The sequence below is a fragment of the Homo sapiens genome, chromosome 17, assembly GCF_000001405.40.
Source record: "Homo sapiens chromosome 17, GRCh38.p14 Primary Assembly".
Lineage (NCBI taxonomy): Eukaryota > Metazoa > Chordata > Mammalia > Primates > Hominidae > Homo > Homo sapiens.
The window spans coordinates 36,961,846-36,975,975 of NC_000017.11; the positions used below are offsets into that span (position 1 = coordinate 36,961,846).

The 14,130-nt window shown below is 38.2% G+C and overlaps 1 protein-coding gene across 3 annotated transcripts in view, besides 1 other annotated feature; it reads left to right on the forward strand.

Annotated features, from left to right (window-relative positions):
* Window positions 1–14,130, forward strand: part of AATF (apoptosis antagonizing transcription factor) — a 107,918-nt gene that overhangs the window by 12,892 nt on the left and 80,896 nt on the right. The window lies entirely within an intron of this gene.
* Window positions 10,205–10,800: an enhancer, noted in NCBI's record as "VISTA enhancer hs363". NCBI's record gives its function as "enhancer in: hindbrain (rhombencephalon)[6/6]" and the evidence as "EXISTENCE:transgenic organism evidence [ECO:0001131][PMID:17130149]".

Genomic DNA, 14,130 nt, shown 5'->3' on the forward strand with positions numbered 1-14,130 from the left:
TGTGTTTTTGGTAGAGACTGGGTTTCACTGTGTTGGCCAGGCTGGTTTTGAACTCCTGACCTCAGGTAATCTGCCTGTCTCAGCCTCCCAAAGTGCTGGGATTACAGGCGTGAGCCACGGTGCTGGGCCTTGTACATTGTTTTTTTAAAAAGGCTTTTGGAATATATTGCCTAACTAGCCCCTGGAAGAATTGTAACAATTTAAATTCTCATCTGTAACAGTTGTTTTCCTACACTCCTGCCTCCACTAGGTATTATTGATCTTCTTTTTGCTAAACTGTAGGTGGGAAATGAAGGCAATCATTTCTTGATAAGTTTCTGTTTGGTATTTACATAATACCTGTTAGCACTGAAATAACATATGCAGTGTTTTATCTATTTATTAGAGAGTGAGTTCTGTGTAGGAAGACTTTTTGTCCCTTTTGAGCTACTACTTTGTCCAACTTAGTTAATTAGGCATTTATATAATGTAGAGAGTAAAGCTGGATCACAGAGCAAGAACTTTTCCAAAGTCACCAAGTGGTGGAATGAGGAGGGGAGTGTCAGATTCTTATGCACTGATTCTACCTACCCTAAGAGTATAAGCCCTAAATGGGTCACAGACCTGTGTGAGCTAAGGGCAGCTTAAAAACTACTGATACCAATCTAGCTAGAAAATGCATTTCACTGTTTTGGGGTTGGGTTTCTTAGGAGTGAGAGTTGTCTTCAGCATCAGAAACAATTTTTTTTTTTTTTTGACTGCTCCATAGACAGAGCAGGGCTATCCCATAGGCAGAGTGGCCCAGAGTAGCTCAGAAAAATAATTTTTAATAGTAATGAGTTAGATAAGAAAGTAGCCCTGACTTGGAGTAGCTAGTAGCTCCATAGTAGGATCACTGTGTCACTATATTCATGGTGAAGTTGTACATATCATTGCACAATGGAACCTCTTTATATGTACATTTAATTAACTCAAACGTAACTATATGTGCCTGGCCAAAAGAAAAAGAGGGAGAGGCTGGGCACTGTGGCTCATGCCTGTAATCCCAGTACTTTGGGAGGCCGAGGCAGGCGAATCACCTGAGGTCAGGTGTTCGAGACCAGTTCAACATGGTGAAATCCCCTCTCTATTAAAAATACAAAAAATGAGCCGGGAGTGGTGGCGGATGCTTGTAATCCCAGCTACTCGGGAGGCTGAGGCAGGAGAATCGCTTGAACCCGGGAGGTGGAGATTGCAGTGAGCCAAGATCGCACCATTGCACTCCAGCCTGACAAGAGCAAAACTCTGTCTCAAACAAAACAAAACAAAACAAAAACCAAGGAGAGAGAAACTGTTTATATAGTGCCAATAATTCTGCCTGCCACTTTATTCAGTGAGCGTAGGGTATGCATGAGATGGCAGGTGGATTCTTTTATTGCCTTGGTTATTTTTTGTTCTTGGGTACCTCTTTAGTGAGCATCGATCAACAGAATATCAATCTAGTGCTTAAAGTTACAACATGCAGTCTTTGTACAGGACGGTCCCTAAATTGAATCATCTGTGTTTAATTGACAAAGTGCTGTATGGGCTAATGTTAGAGGGGAAAGACTGGCTGTGTTGAACTTATTGAAAGATAGCACAATGCCACACATTATGTACAATATAAGGGATTTTCAAAGTGGTTTTGTCAAAACTTGATTTTTTGCTTTATGCTTAGACTTTAGAACCCAACTGCTGCATAAGATGATACTCTATTGTTTATGTCTTAAAACCTGTTCTTAAATTGTTTTTTTAAAATCACACAGGAGTAAGATAAATATACAGAAGCCTTCAGGAAGACAGTACTCCTTTGACTGACATTCAGTCTCATTTTATTTGTTTTACTTCTGTAACTTTAGATAATTTCTTTATATCTCTGTCTTGATTTATTTATTCTCTGATATGAAAGGTGAGACTGCTGCTAATGGAAGTAAGATGGGGATTGAGAACTGACTTATCTAGCAACATGGTGGGCATCCTTGACCTTGATGGAGTTTGGCAGGCTAGTAGGCTTACAGGCTTGACTGGAATGGGTTTAAGAGAGAATGGAGTGGCTGGGCACAGTGGCTCACGCCTGTAACCCTAGCACTTTGGGAGGCCAAGATGGGCAGATCACTTGAGCCCAGGAGTTCAGGACCAGCCTGGGCAACACAGTGAGACCCTGTCTCAATTTTTAAAAATTAATTTTAAAAAAGAAACAAAAAAAGAGAATGGGGAAAATGAAATAGTAAAGTATAGGCAACTCTTTGAAGGGTTGTTGCTTTAAAGGGGAGCAGAGAAATGGGGCATTGGATGGTGAAGGATGTGGTCAAAAGAGGGGTGTTTTGCTTTTTTTTTTTTTTTTTTTTAAGGTGAAGTATCAGCGTGTTTGCATGTTGATAGGAGTGACCCAGCAGAGAGGGGGAAATTGATGATGCAGGAGAGGGGGACATCTGTTGTCACAGTGTCCTATAGTGGGTGAGTGGGGATGGAGTGGAGATGGGCCAGTGCACAGGAGTGCCTTAGATAGCAATGTGGACCATCTCATGGTGGCGGGTGCCTGTAATCCTAGCTACTCAGGAGGCTGAGGTAGGAAAATCACCTGAACCCAGAAGGTGGAGGTTGCGGTGGGCCAAGATTGCGCCACCGCACTCCAGCCTGGGTGAAAGAGCAAGACTGTCTTTAAAACAAAACAAAACAAAAACCAATAAACTGCATTTACAGTGTATTACCATGTAAATAAGGTAGACTACTAGGACAGGGAAGAATTGGAAAATTGTGTTTTCTTCCCTGTTTTTTCAGTCATGGCTCCTAGGCCACTCAAAGGAGAATATTCCTAGTTTAGTTCAAGTTTTTAGTTGCTCTCCATTACCTGCTTAAAATCATGCTATTTTCAGTTCGCTTCCTATTTATTTATTTTTTCCCTTTTGCCCCCCTCCCCCCCACTGTAGCTCAGTTTTATCATCTCAATCCTTTTTTTCCTAAACTTTACATCATGCCATCTCTTGTGTTAAATTTTCCATTTTGAGCTGGTTGTTCTCTAGGAGTAGTGCACAGCTGTGCTCTTGGGCCTTTCATTGCTCTTCTGGGGAGAGCTACCGCTTTCGGGTTTTCAGGCTCTCTTTTGTTATCTCAGTTTACTGTCAGTTTGCTGCCAAACATGCATCCAGAGTAAGTTATCTGAGTTCTTGTAGGTTTGAAAATACTGTGCCCTCATTCCTCATTGATGTATTCTTGTTTGATTGGGTAGACCTTTCTAGATTGAAAATTACTTTCCCTCAGAATTAGAAAGTATTGCCTGTTACTGGTTTCCTCTTGCTGCTGTAACAAATTACCGCAAGCTTGGTGACTTAACAGCACACATTGATTATCGTATCGTTCTGGAGGTCACAAGTCCTAAAATCAAGGTGTCAGCAGGGCTTTGTTCCTGGAGGCTCTAGGGGAGAAATCTGTTTGCTTGCCTTTTCCAGCTTTTATAGGCGGCCACATTCTTTGCTCATGGTCCTCTTCCATCTTTAAAACCAGCAATTCCATCTCTCCAACCTCTCCTTTCCTGACTCTGACCCTATTGCCTTCCTCTTATAAGGACCCTTGAGATCACATTGGACCACCTGGCTTATCCAGGATAATCTCAAGATCCTTAATTATATCTGCAAAGTCCTTTTGACTTTTTAATATGTTACTGACAAAGCCACATTCACATGTCTGGGGTTTAGGATGTAGATATCTTTGGGGGACCATTATTCAGCCTACTATGTGCCTTATTGTCTTCTACCATCCCAGTGTTTTCCAGTGACAAGGTATGAATCTCATTCCTTTGTAGATGACTTATTTTTGGTCTCTGGACATGTTTGGGATCTTCTCTTCATTATTTTTTCTTGTATTTTTATTTTTTATTGAGAGAGGGCCTTCATCTCTTGCCCACGCTGGAGTGTGGTGGTGCAATCATGGCTCACTGCAGCCTCGAACTCCTGGGCTCAAGTGACCCTTCCACTTCAGCCTCCCAAGTAGCTGGGCCTCAGGTGCGTGCCACCACGTCCAGCTAATTTTTTTCTTTTTTCTTTTTTATAGAGATGGGGTCTTGCAGTGTTCCCCAGGCTGTCTTTATTCTTGATTTTCTGAAATTGCCTGAAGAGATGTCTAAGTATGGGTCATTTTTTATTTATTATGCTAAACATTTACCTTAGTAAGTATGAAGACTGGGGTCCTTCAGTTTTGGGAAAATCTTTTCTAATATTTCTTTAATAATTTTCTTCCTTCCATTTTCTCTGTTCTCCTAGATTTTAAGCCTGAATTAGTGTTGTGTCTCTTATGTGTTATTTAACATTTTCCATCTTTTTGTGATTTTACCATGTTTATGTTCCGAAAGATTTTTGAAGCTGATTTCCAGATTTTTTTTAAAAAAATCAATTTTTTAAGTTGTTATTTTTAAGCTGCTGAGTACATATTTTATTTTATTGTAAGACAGGGTCTTGCTGTGTTGCCCAGGCTGGAGTGTAGTGATGTGATCATAACTCACTGCAGGCTCAGACTCCTGGGCTCAAGTGATGCTCCTGCCTCAGCCTCCCAAGTAGCTGGGACTACATGTGTGTGCCACTGTGCCTGGCTAATTTAAAAAAAATTTCTGGTAGAGATGAGGTCTCACTGTGTTGCCCAAGCTGGTCTTGAGCTCCTGGGCTCAAGTGATCCTCCCGCCTCAGCCTCCCAAAATGCTGGGATTACAGGTGTGAACCGCCATGCCCACCCTGAAGTTTTCATTTTAAATCATATTTTTAATCTTTAAGGGGTCTTTTGATTCCTGAGTGTTCCTTTTCTGTATAATTAATAAGAGTATAGGATGTAAATTTAAAGTTTTGTTGTTGTTGTGGTAAAGTCATTTTAATTCCTGGAATTGTTCCTGTCTCAACCAGATGTTTTGTTTATCTTGGACATTTTCCTTTCTTGGCAGGGGAGGGGAGGAGGTAGAGATGGGGTTGCCCACCATGTTGCCCAGGCTGATCTCAAACTCCTGGCCTCAAGTGATCCTCCTGCCCTGGCCTCCCAAAGTGCTGGGATTACAGGCATGAGCCACTGTGCCCTCATTTTAAAATTTGTATCCAATACCTATATACAATTTAAAGAGTCAGATAATTCTAGGAAGCTTGTTATGAAAACCAGTAGTCTGCTGCTTGGGTGTATCACTTCTGTGCCATAACCCTTTCTCCTGAAGCAACAATTTTAAGTTATTTTGTTATATCTTTTTTTGTTTTTTGTTTTGAATCCATGGGTTTCTCTAATTAACATGGTTTGTTTCTACTTGACTTTTCAGTTTTAGGCATTACTTGTTGACTCCCCTTTATAAAAATGAAGATTTAGCTCTTATTCCTACTACACTCATGCATACTTTCTGGTTATGTTATTAATTTGTCCCTTTGTGGTTATATTGTAGTTTGGTTAGATCAGTGTTCAGTATTTACATTATTATGTCTGTAAACACTTTTCACAGCTGAGCCATGTAATAAATACACTATGATTATTTTCCTTTCCCACACATTGTTTTGTTTTCTAGAGTTGATTGTTACATTTTTGTTTGAGTTTTCTGTGTAGTAATTCAAGCCCAAACTTTTCTCCAGTTAGCTAAATCTCTTCTCAAGTCTAAAGTTGCATCAAATATTGTGCCAGTTGATGTTCCTTAAGTCTCTCCCAGAGCTTTTCGACCTGCTGTCATCTGGCCTGTTCACCTTCTCAGGTGTCCAGCTGTCATGCTGGGATGTGCCTTCACCGTCATCCTGGGTGTTACCTTAGCTTCTTGCTTCTGTGGATCTCCTATTCCAGAGTCTTTCTTGGCTACTTCCAATTTTTGTTGCACATCCTCTCATAGCTTGCTGAGAAGGGGTGTGTGGGAGGTAAATTTTTTTAGACTTCAGTTGTCTTAAAATACCTTTATTCTATCATCACAATTGATGGTTTGTATATAGAATTCTATAGAATGTTACATTGTATTTCAGCTTCTAAAGTTGCAATTGGTAAGTCAGAAGCTGTTCTGATTCCAGACCTTGCCTTTTTTTTTTTTTTTTTCTTTTTGGAAACTGCAGACTTTTCTTTGTCCACAGAATTCTGAAATTTCATAATGATGCACCGTAGCGTAGATCTGTTTTTGTCTGTTGTCTGGAGCACTTGGAGGGCCTTTTCAATCTAGAAATTCATATCTTTCAGTCCTGGAAAATCCTCTTGAAATTATTTTGTTTTTTACTATCTCCCCTGTGTTTCCTTTCTCTCTGTCCTCTCTCTTTCTGGAAGGCCTATTACTTGGCATCAGACTGTTTCTGTGATTCTTTTTCTCTTCAATTTTTCATCCCTCCCTCTCTCTTCTAAGACATTTCCTCAGCTTTATTTTCAGTACTTTCTATTGAGTTTTTAAAATTTTCTTCTATTTTTTTCTTTTTTCTTTTTCTTTCTTTCCTTCTTTCTTTTTTTTTTTTTTTTTTTTTTTTTTTTTTGAGATAGGCTCTCACTTTGTCACCCAGGCTTGATCTTGATCTCGGCTCACTGCAGCCTTGGCCTCCTGGGCTCAAGCAATCCACCTGCATCAGCCCCACAAGTAGCTGGGACTACAGGTGCACGCCACCACGCCTAACTAATTCTTTGTAGTTTTTGTAGAGATGAGGTTTTGCTGTGTTGGCCAGGCTTGTCTTAAATTCCTGAGCTTAGGTGATCTACCTGCCTTGACTTCTCAAAGCACTGGGATTATAGGCGTAAGCTACCGTGGATGGCCTCTTCTATCATATTTTTATTTTATTTTATTTTATTGTTTGGGTTTTTTTCTTTTTTCTTTTTTCAAGAGAAGGTCCCACTCTGTCACCTAGACCGGAGTACAGTGGTGTGATCATAGCTCACTGCAGCCTCAGACTCCTGGGCTCAGGTTATCTTCCTGCCTTAGCCTCCTGAGTAGCTAGGACTACAGGTGCATGCCATCCCATCTGGCTATTTTTTATTTTTAGTAGAGATGAGGTCTTGCTGTGTTGCCCAGGCTGGTCTTGAACTCCTGGCTTCGAGTGATCAAGCGATCCTTCTGCCTCAGCCTCCCAAAGCGCTGACATTACAGATGTGAACTTTAGCGCCTGGCCTATGTATTTTTGTATGTGTTCTTCCTGCATAGTCTGTTTCCTCTAAGCTGCTTTTTTTGTTGTTGTTTTTTTGCTTTCGCTTTAACTCCTGTGTAACATGTTACATGTTTTTCTTGGATTTTTGGTGATCCTCTGCGGTCTCTGTTGATTTTTAAGTGTATCATACCAAAAAGTTGATTGGGAACTTTGTATGTTGGATGGGGCTTTTTGTCTATGGTTTCCATTGTAAAGCAATCTATCTGCACCATTTTGGAAGAACTCCCAATGGCAGTGTCTTTAGATCTTTGCTCTTTATGAGATCAAAATCTAGAGGACTTCCAGTTTCCTGCCTGGTGGCCAACATTCTAGGAGGTGGGTAGGCTTGGGGATCTAGGCATTCAGTCTGTAAACTTCAGCTTAGTCCCCCTGTTTTCAATATTATGCCTTTGCCCTCAACTATGATCTGGAATCTCCCTGTCCAGAGACCCTCTCTTTAGCTCTCTTCAAGGATAAACCTCTAAATTTTGTCTAAATAAGAAGATATGATATTTTAACTGCTCCACTTGTTTTTAGGCCTGCTTTGATCTCCTTTTCTAGAGGTGCTGGGCACTGCCAGTTCCTGAGTCCTCTGCATTCTGTTTCTGGACTGTAAGTGAGGTTGCATCTGATTCTTCATTGCTAGCACCCCAGTCATCTTGCTTAGGTTAGCTAAGTCAGTTATTATTTGTCCATTTGCTTTTTCAAAAACTGGTTTGTTGAGATATAATTGACATAATAAATTGCCCATATGTCCAGTGTGTAATTTGACATTTATATACACCCGGGAAACCATCACCAGTCAAGATAATGAACATATTCCTCATCCCCAGAAGTTTCCTCAGCCTCTTTATAATCTTTCCCTCCTGGCCTTCCCTATTTGTCCCTAGGCAACCACTAAATCTGCTGTCACTATGGGTTAGTTTGCATTTTCTAGAAATCTATATAAGTGGAATTATACAGTTTGTATCCTTTTTAGTCTGGCTTTTGCTCAGCATAATTATTTTGAGCATCCTCCATATTTTTTCTTGTGTCAGTAGTTCATTGCCTTTTGTTGCTGAGTAGTATCCCATTGTATGGATATACCACAATTTGTTTTGTTTCCAGTTTTTGGCTATTACAAATAAATCTGCTACAAACATTTGTATAGATGTTTTTATATGGACATAGACTTTCATTTCTCTTGGGTAGCTAAGAATAGAATGGCTGAGTCGCATGGTAAATGCATGTTTAACTTCGGAAACTGCCAAGCTATTTTCCAAAGTGGTTATACCATTTTGCAGTCCCACCAGCAGTGTATGAGATTTCTAGTTGCTCCACTTCCTCAGAACATTTGGTATGTTCTTAATTTTAAACATTCTAATAATTGTATAGGTAGGTTACAGAACTGAGTTGCTATCCTGTCTCTCATTCTTTGCCTTTCTTTTGTGGGTTTACTCCTTTTAAAAGTTACTTTTTAAAAAAGTTACCTTAATCAGTGGAATAGAATAGAGAGTTCTGAAACAAATTCATACAAATAATGGGCAGTTGACTTTTAAAGGTGCAAAGTCAAGTCAGTCAAGTCAGTGGAGAATGGATAGTTTCTTTCTTTCTTTTTTCTTTTTTTTTTTTTTTTTAAGAGACAGTGTCTTCCTCTTTTGTGGAGGCTGAAATGCAGTGACGATCATGGCTCACTGCAGCACTGAGCTCCTGGCTCATGCAGTCTTCCCACCCTAACCTCCTGAGTAGCTGGGACTGCAGGTGTATGCCATCATGGCCTGCTAAATTTTCTTTATTTTTCTTAGAGATGAGGTCTTGTTACGTTTCCCAGGCTGGTCTCGAACTCCTGCCCTCCTGCCTCGGCCTCCCAAAGTGCTGAGATTACAGGCATGAGCCACCATTCCCGGCCTGGATAGTCTTTTCAACAAATGGTGCTGGGACAATTGTGCACTCATTTGCAAAAAAAAAACTTCAACCTGTACCTCATACTTGATATAAAAATTAACACAAGACAGTCAATTTATATTAACTTAAATATAAATCATAAAGTGTTTTGAAAAACATATGGGAGAAAACTCTATGTCATTGGGTTAGGCAAAGAGTTTTTAAATACAATATCAAAAACAGAATCCATAAAAGAACAAATTGATAATTGGGCCAAATCAGAATTAAAATCTTTTGCTCTGTGAAAGATATGTTAAAATAATGAAAAGATAAGCTATAGACCAAGAGGAAATGTTTGCAGATCACATAATTAACAATCAGCTTGTGTCCAGAGTGTATAAAGAACTCTCAAAACTCAACAATAAAAAATACCCATTCAAAAAAAAATGGGCAAAAGATTGGACACTTTACCAAAGACAATATATGATAGCAAATAAGCACATGAAAAGAGATTTAACTTAATCATTAATGTTTAGCAAGATGCAAATTAAAACCACAAGGAGATACCTCTACATACCTATTAGGCCAAACACAAATACACACCTGACAACACCAAGTGCTGGGAAGAATGTAGAGCAACTGGAGCTTTCATACATTGCTGATGGGAATGCAAAATAGTACAGCCACTTTGGAAAAACAGTCTGGCAGTTTTTAAATAAAGCTAAACATATATTCATCATACGAGCCTGATCCAGTAGTCTCTGTCTTAGATATCTGCCCTAGAAAAATGAAGACATACATTCACACAAAGTCTTGTACATGCACGTTCATAGCAGCATTATTTATAATCACCAAAAACTGGAAACAGCCCAAATGTCCAAATGTGCAACAAATTGTACATTAGTCAGCAATAAAAAGGAATAAACTATTGATACATGCAAAAACGTGGATGAACCTCAAGGGTATTATACTAAGTGAAATATGCCAGCCTCAAAAGATTTTATACTTGGAAATTCCATTTATATGACATTCTGGAAAAGGTAAAATTATTGGGACAGATCAGTGGCTACCATGGATTAGGAATGGGAGAAAGGTCCGAGTGCAAAGAGGCAGCCCAGCTTTCTTCTTTGTTTTCTATGAGTTTCTATTTTCCTCTCCACTAATCTTGTTTCCTTGGAGTATTTTCCACCTGTTTTCCACAGTGGCTCTCTGTTGAACCCTTCAGCCTGGCTTGATTGTTGTGTACGTTTTGCTTGGATTGAGGGAGGGGGTATATGTGTGCTTATTCCCAGATAACTCTGGGAATATTTCTTATGGTAATGGATACATGATACAGTACTTCTAGGGATAGAGGAATGGGCCACATCAACCTATAGTGTCATTTTTGCTTGAAATATATATCCTTGGTACTGAAACCTTACCCAGAAGAGAATAATAGATTACACAGAGCTTCTAGATTTTGATGTGGGTTAGAACTGAAAAATGAGATGTCTTTAAACTCTTTTTCCTTCTCTCTTTGATAAGTGATATAATGTGGTTTGGACACTCAGAGATTCCTGAGATTCCAGGTTCTGGTTGATGATTTACTGCAAAATTGCTTATAAATTGAAGTAGAAAATGTTTTGCAGACCTGGCAGCTTTCTGGCTTCACACCCATTTGTCACCCAGCATTTCCCTTTGTGTATAGAACAAGAATTAATTAGGCTGCACTGCAGGAAAAGTTTATGGCTATAATTTATATAGGATGAATTTTTTTTTAAAGAGACAGCATTGTTTTGTTACACCTATATACATGTAAGTGTGTGTGTATAGAAAGTGTTTTTTTCCCCCTCTTAAAGCAGTGTCTGTAAGCTTCTGGAGTAAACATTTTTTTTTTTTTTTCCTAATGCAAGATGATAGTGTAATAGATGCATTTATCATGATTGCTGTCTGATGAAACTGTTGGGGTTTTTTGTTTGTTTCTTGTTTTTTAATTCATTGTTTACTAGTGAGAACACTCAGTTTTAGGTTTACATTTTAGACATTGGTCAGACTTGTCTGGTTTCCAGAGCTTTGTATTCTTTCTGTCTCTTGGAAGACTCGGGATTCTGTCTTTTTTAGGGTCTTGCTCATTCAATTAATGTTTTCATAATCAATGCAAGTCAGAACTTGCAATTTGTTCCTGATTTGCACATTAAAGAGCTCCATTAATTAAGAATCTTGGTGTTTGGCATGTTCCCGCAGGATCTGTGCATTATTTACATGGTGAAAGTGCAAGATGCAAGTTTCTCAGTTGTAAGGGCAATTGCAGTTAATCCTGCTTTTTCTTTTCTTCTTTCTTTCTTTTTTCCTTTCTTTTTGCTTGTGAGTAACAATTATTTCACAACTCATTGAAACTCCTTAAGGATACATTGTACCAAAATAGGAACAAATTATTCAAAAGAGGGGGCTATGGTGAAAAAGTAGAAAGTAAATCCTTTTTTTAAAGGATTTTAAAGGATTTATCCTTTTTTTAAAGGACTGTGTACAACACAGTCACACAATTGGTGAGAGGCAAAGCCAGTGTAGAAACTGAGGTCTGCTGTGCCTCACAAACGTTGCTCTTGGCCACACTGCCCACTCACTATGCATATGGTTTAACTTAACTCTTTTCATCTGAGGGTTTTCTCCCCTTTTCAAAGAGAGTATGAAGAAACATAGATATGGAATAAATGTCACAGCTTAAAGCAATGAAGGCAGGAGAAATATGGAGATGAATTTGTTATAGAACAGAAGGCTTAGAGCACAAGAAGTAGACATGTCCTTCAGTTTTTCTAAAGATGCTATTTCCTGGATACTGTTTCATTCACTAAGAGTTAGACTTTCAGGGGGTCAGCTGATCTAGTTCCTTCTCCTTTAGGCAGGTAAGACCATTTTTTAGGTGATAAATAATGTTTTTTTCTCATGATAAATTATAAAAATACAATATGTATTCCTTATATAAAATTTAGAAAATAGCCAAGCAGGCTGGGGACGGTGGCTTACGCCTATAATCCCAGACCTTTGGGAGGCCGAGGCAGGTGGATCACTAGAGGTTAAGAGTTCAAGACCAGCCTGGCCAACGTGGTGAAACCCTGTCTCTACTAAAAATACAGAAATTAGCTGGGCGTGGTGGCATACGCCTGTAATCCCTGCCTCGGGAGGCTGAGGCAGAAGAATCGCTTGAACCTGGGAGGTGGAGGTTGCAGTGAGCCAAAATCGTGCCACTGCACTCCAGCCTGGGCGACAGAGCGAGAGTCCATCTCAAAAAAAAAAAAAGGAAAAGACAGAAAATAGCCAAGCAAAATTAAGGAAATATTTCTTCCCTAATCCTAGCAGCTAAGAGTTAAGTATTTTTAATATTTTGGTACATGGTAAATATCTTTTCTAGGTTTTTCTTCTCAGTGGCTATGTACTTAGAACAAAAATGGGACTCTATTCTGTAATTTGTTTTGCAGTCCATTTCTTTCTACTTAACAGAAATTATGAATATTTTTCCTTGTCATTAAATATTGTTCTATAGCATTATTTTTAATGATAGCATAGAGTTTCCATTGTGTGGATAGTTTAACCAGTTCTTTATTGTTGGACATTTGGATTGTTTCCAGGTTTTCATTTTTATAAATGATGTAGTAAACATCATTATTAGTAAATCTTTACTCATATGCATACTTACTTTGTTGCATAAATCTCTAAATGTGGAATTAGTATATTTTCTAAGAATATGCAAAATTTTAAGGCTTTTTATCTATATGGCCAAGTTGCCTTCCAGAAAAGTTGTATTTGTACATGCTCACCTTTTTATATGAGTGTCAGTTTTCCTTATCCTTGTCAACATCGGATACAATAATTTTGTTTCATCTTTGTCACTTTGACAAGTGGTATCTGGGAAATGGTATCTGTTATTTTAATTTACATTTCCCAATGTTTAATGAAGATAAACATTTTTGCTCCCTTACATTTATTGGTCCTTGCTATTTCTTTTGTGAATCAAACAGGGAAAATTTTGAACTGGTTCTAGGGATAGATGATCTTCTTGTCAGTCAACCTTAATGCCACTCTAATTCTCCTTTTTTTTGCTTTAATCTGTTTCTTCTTGTTTGGTTTTCTGGAATTATATCTACCTCAGAAGACCTCTTTGTATTGTTGAAGTTTAATCTTAATTGCCTTAAAAAATAATAAAAGTAAAACTTGTTTGTTGTGAGATGTTATTTTCTTTCAGACAGTACTGAGTCTGTTTCTTCCTGCCCAACAATACTTAGTGAAATATGTAACGTAGATTGTGAAAGTATTATTTTTCCCACTCGTAAAAGTGTCCTCTAGAGATAACCATTTTAAATAATTTATCTGACTTCCAGATACTTTGTGTCAATATAAACTTTTTTCAAAACATAAATGAAATTATGCTTTACATCTTCCCATGTCAATGCCTGCAGGTCTTTTTTTTCGTTAAAATTAATGTTTGTTATATTTGCTTTTTTTTCTTTTTGAAGCGTTTTAAAGTAAATTACAATCATGCCATTTGCCTCTAAATATTTCTGTTTATAGCTCTAAAAAATGAGGATGTTTCTTAGTAACATTGTCATCTCACCTAACTAAATTAATATTCCTAATACTGTATGCGTACTTCATATTCACTTTACTTCGTTTATCCCAAAAAGTTTTTTATAGTTTGGTTTACTTAAGCCAAGTTCCATTTTATACTAATCCTTTTCAACAGCTGCACAAAAAGTTACCTGGCTAAACTAAAATTAAGTAGTCCCCTATAAATGGACACTTAAGATGTTTGCAGTTTCTACCTATTATAAACAATGCTGCAAATAACATTTTTGTACCTACCTCTTTGCTTTAAAAGTATTTCCTGAGGGTTAGTTTCTAGAAGAACAGTAGGTCAGGAGCTAGGCATATATAAAACTTTGATACGTTTTGCCAGATTGCTTTCTGGCTATGTCATGCTAACTAAACTCATCAGTTGTGTACGCAGAGTGCCCCTTTCGGCACGTTTTTGCCAGCATCAAGCATTATCAGAAAAATATCCCACTGTTTTAAGTTTTTCTTTAAAAAATTATTTTTATTAGTAAAGCTAAGCATCTTCTCTGATGTACATGGGCTTTTGAATTTTGGAGACTATTAATCCATTTGTTAACATTCTTCTTTCAAATTCAGCAAGTAT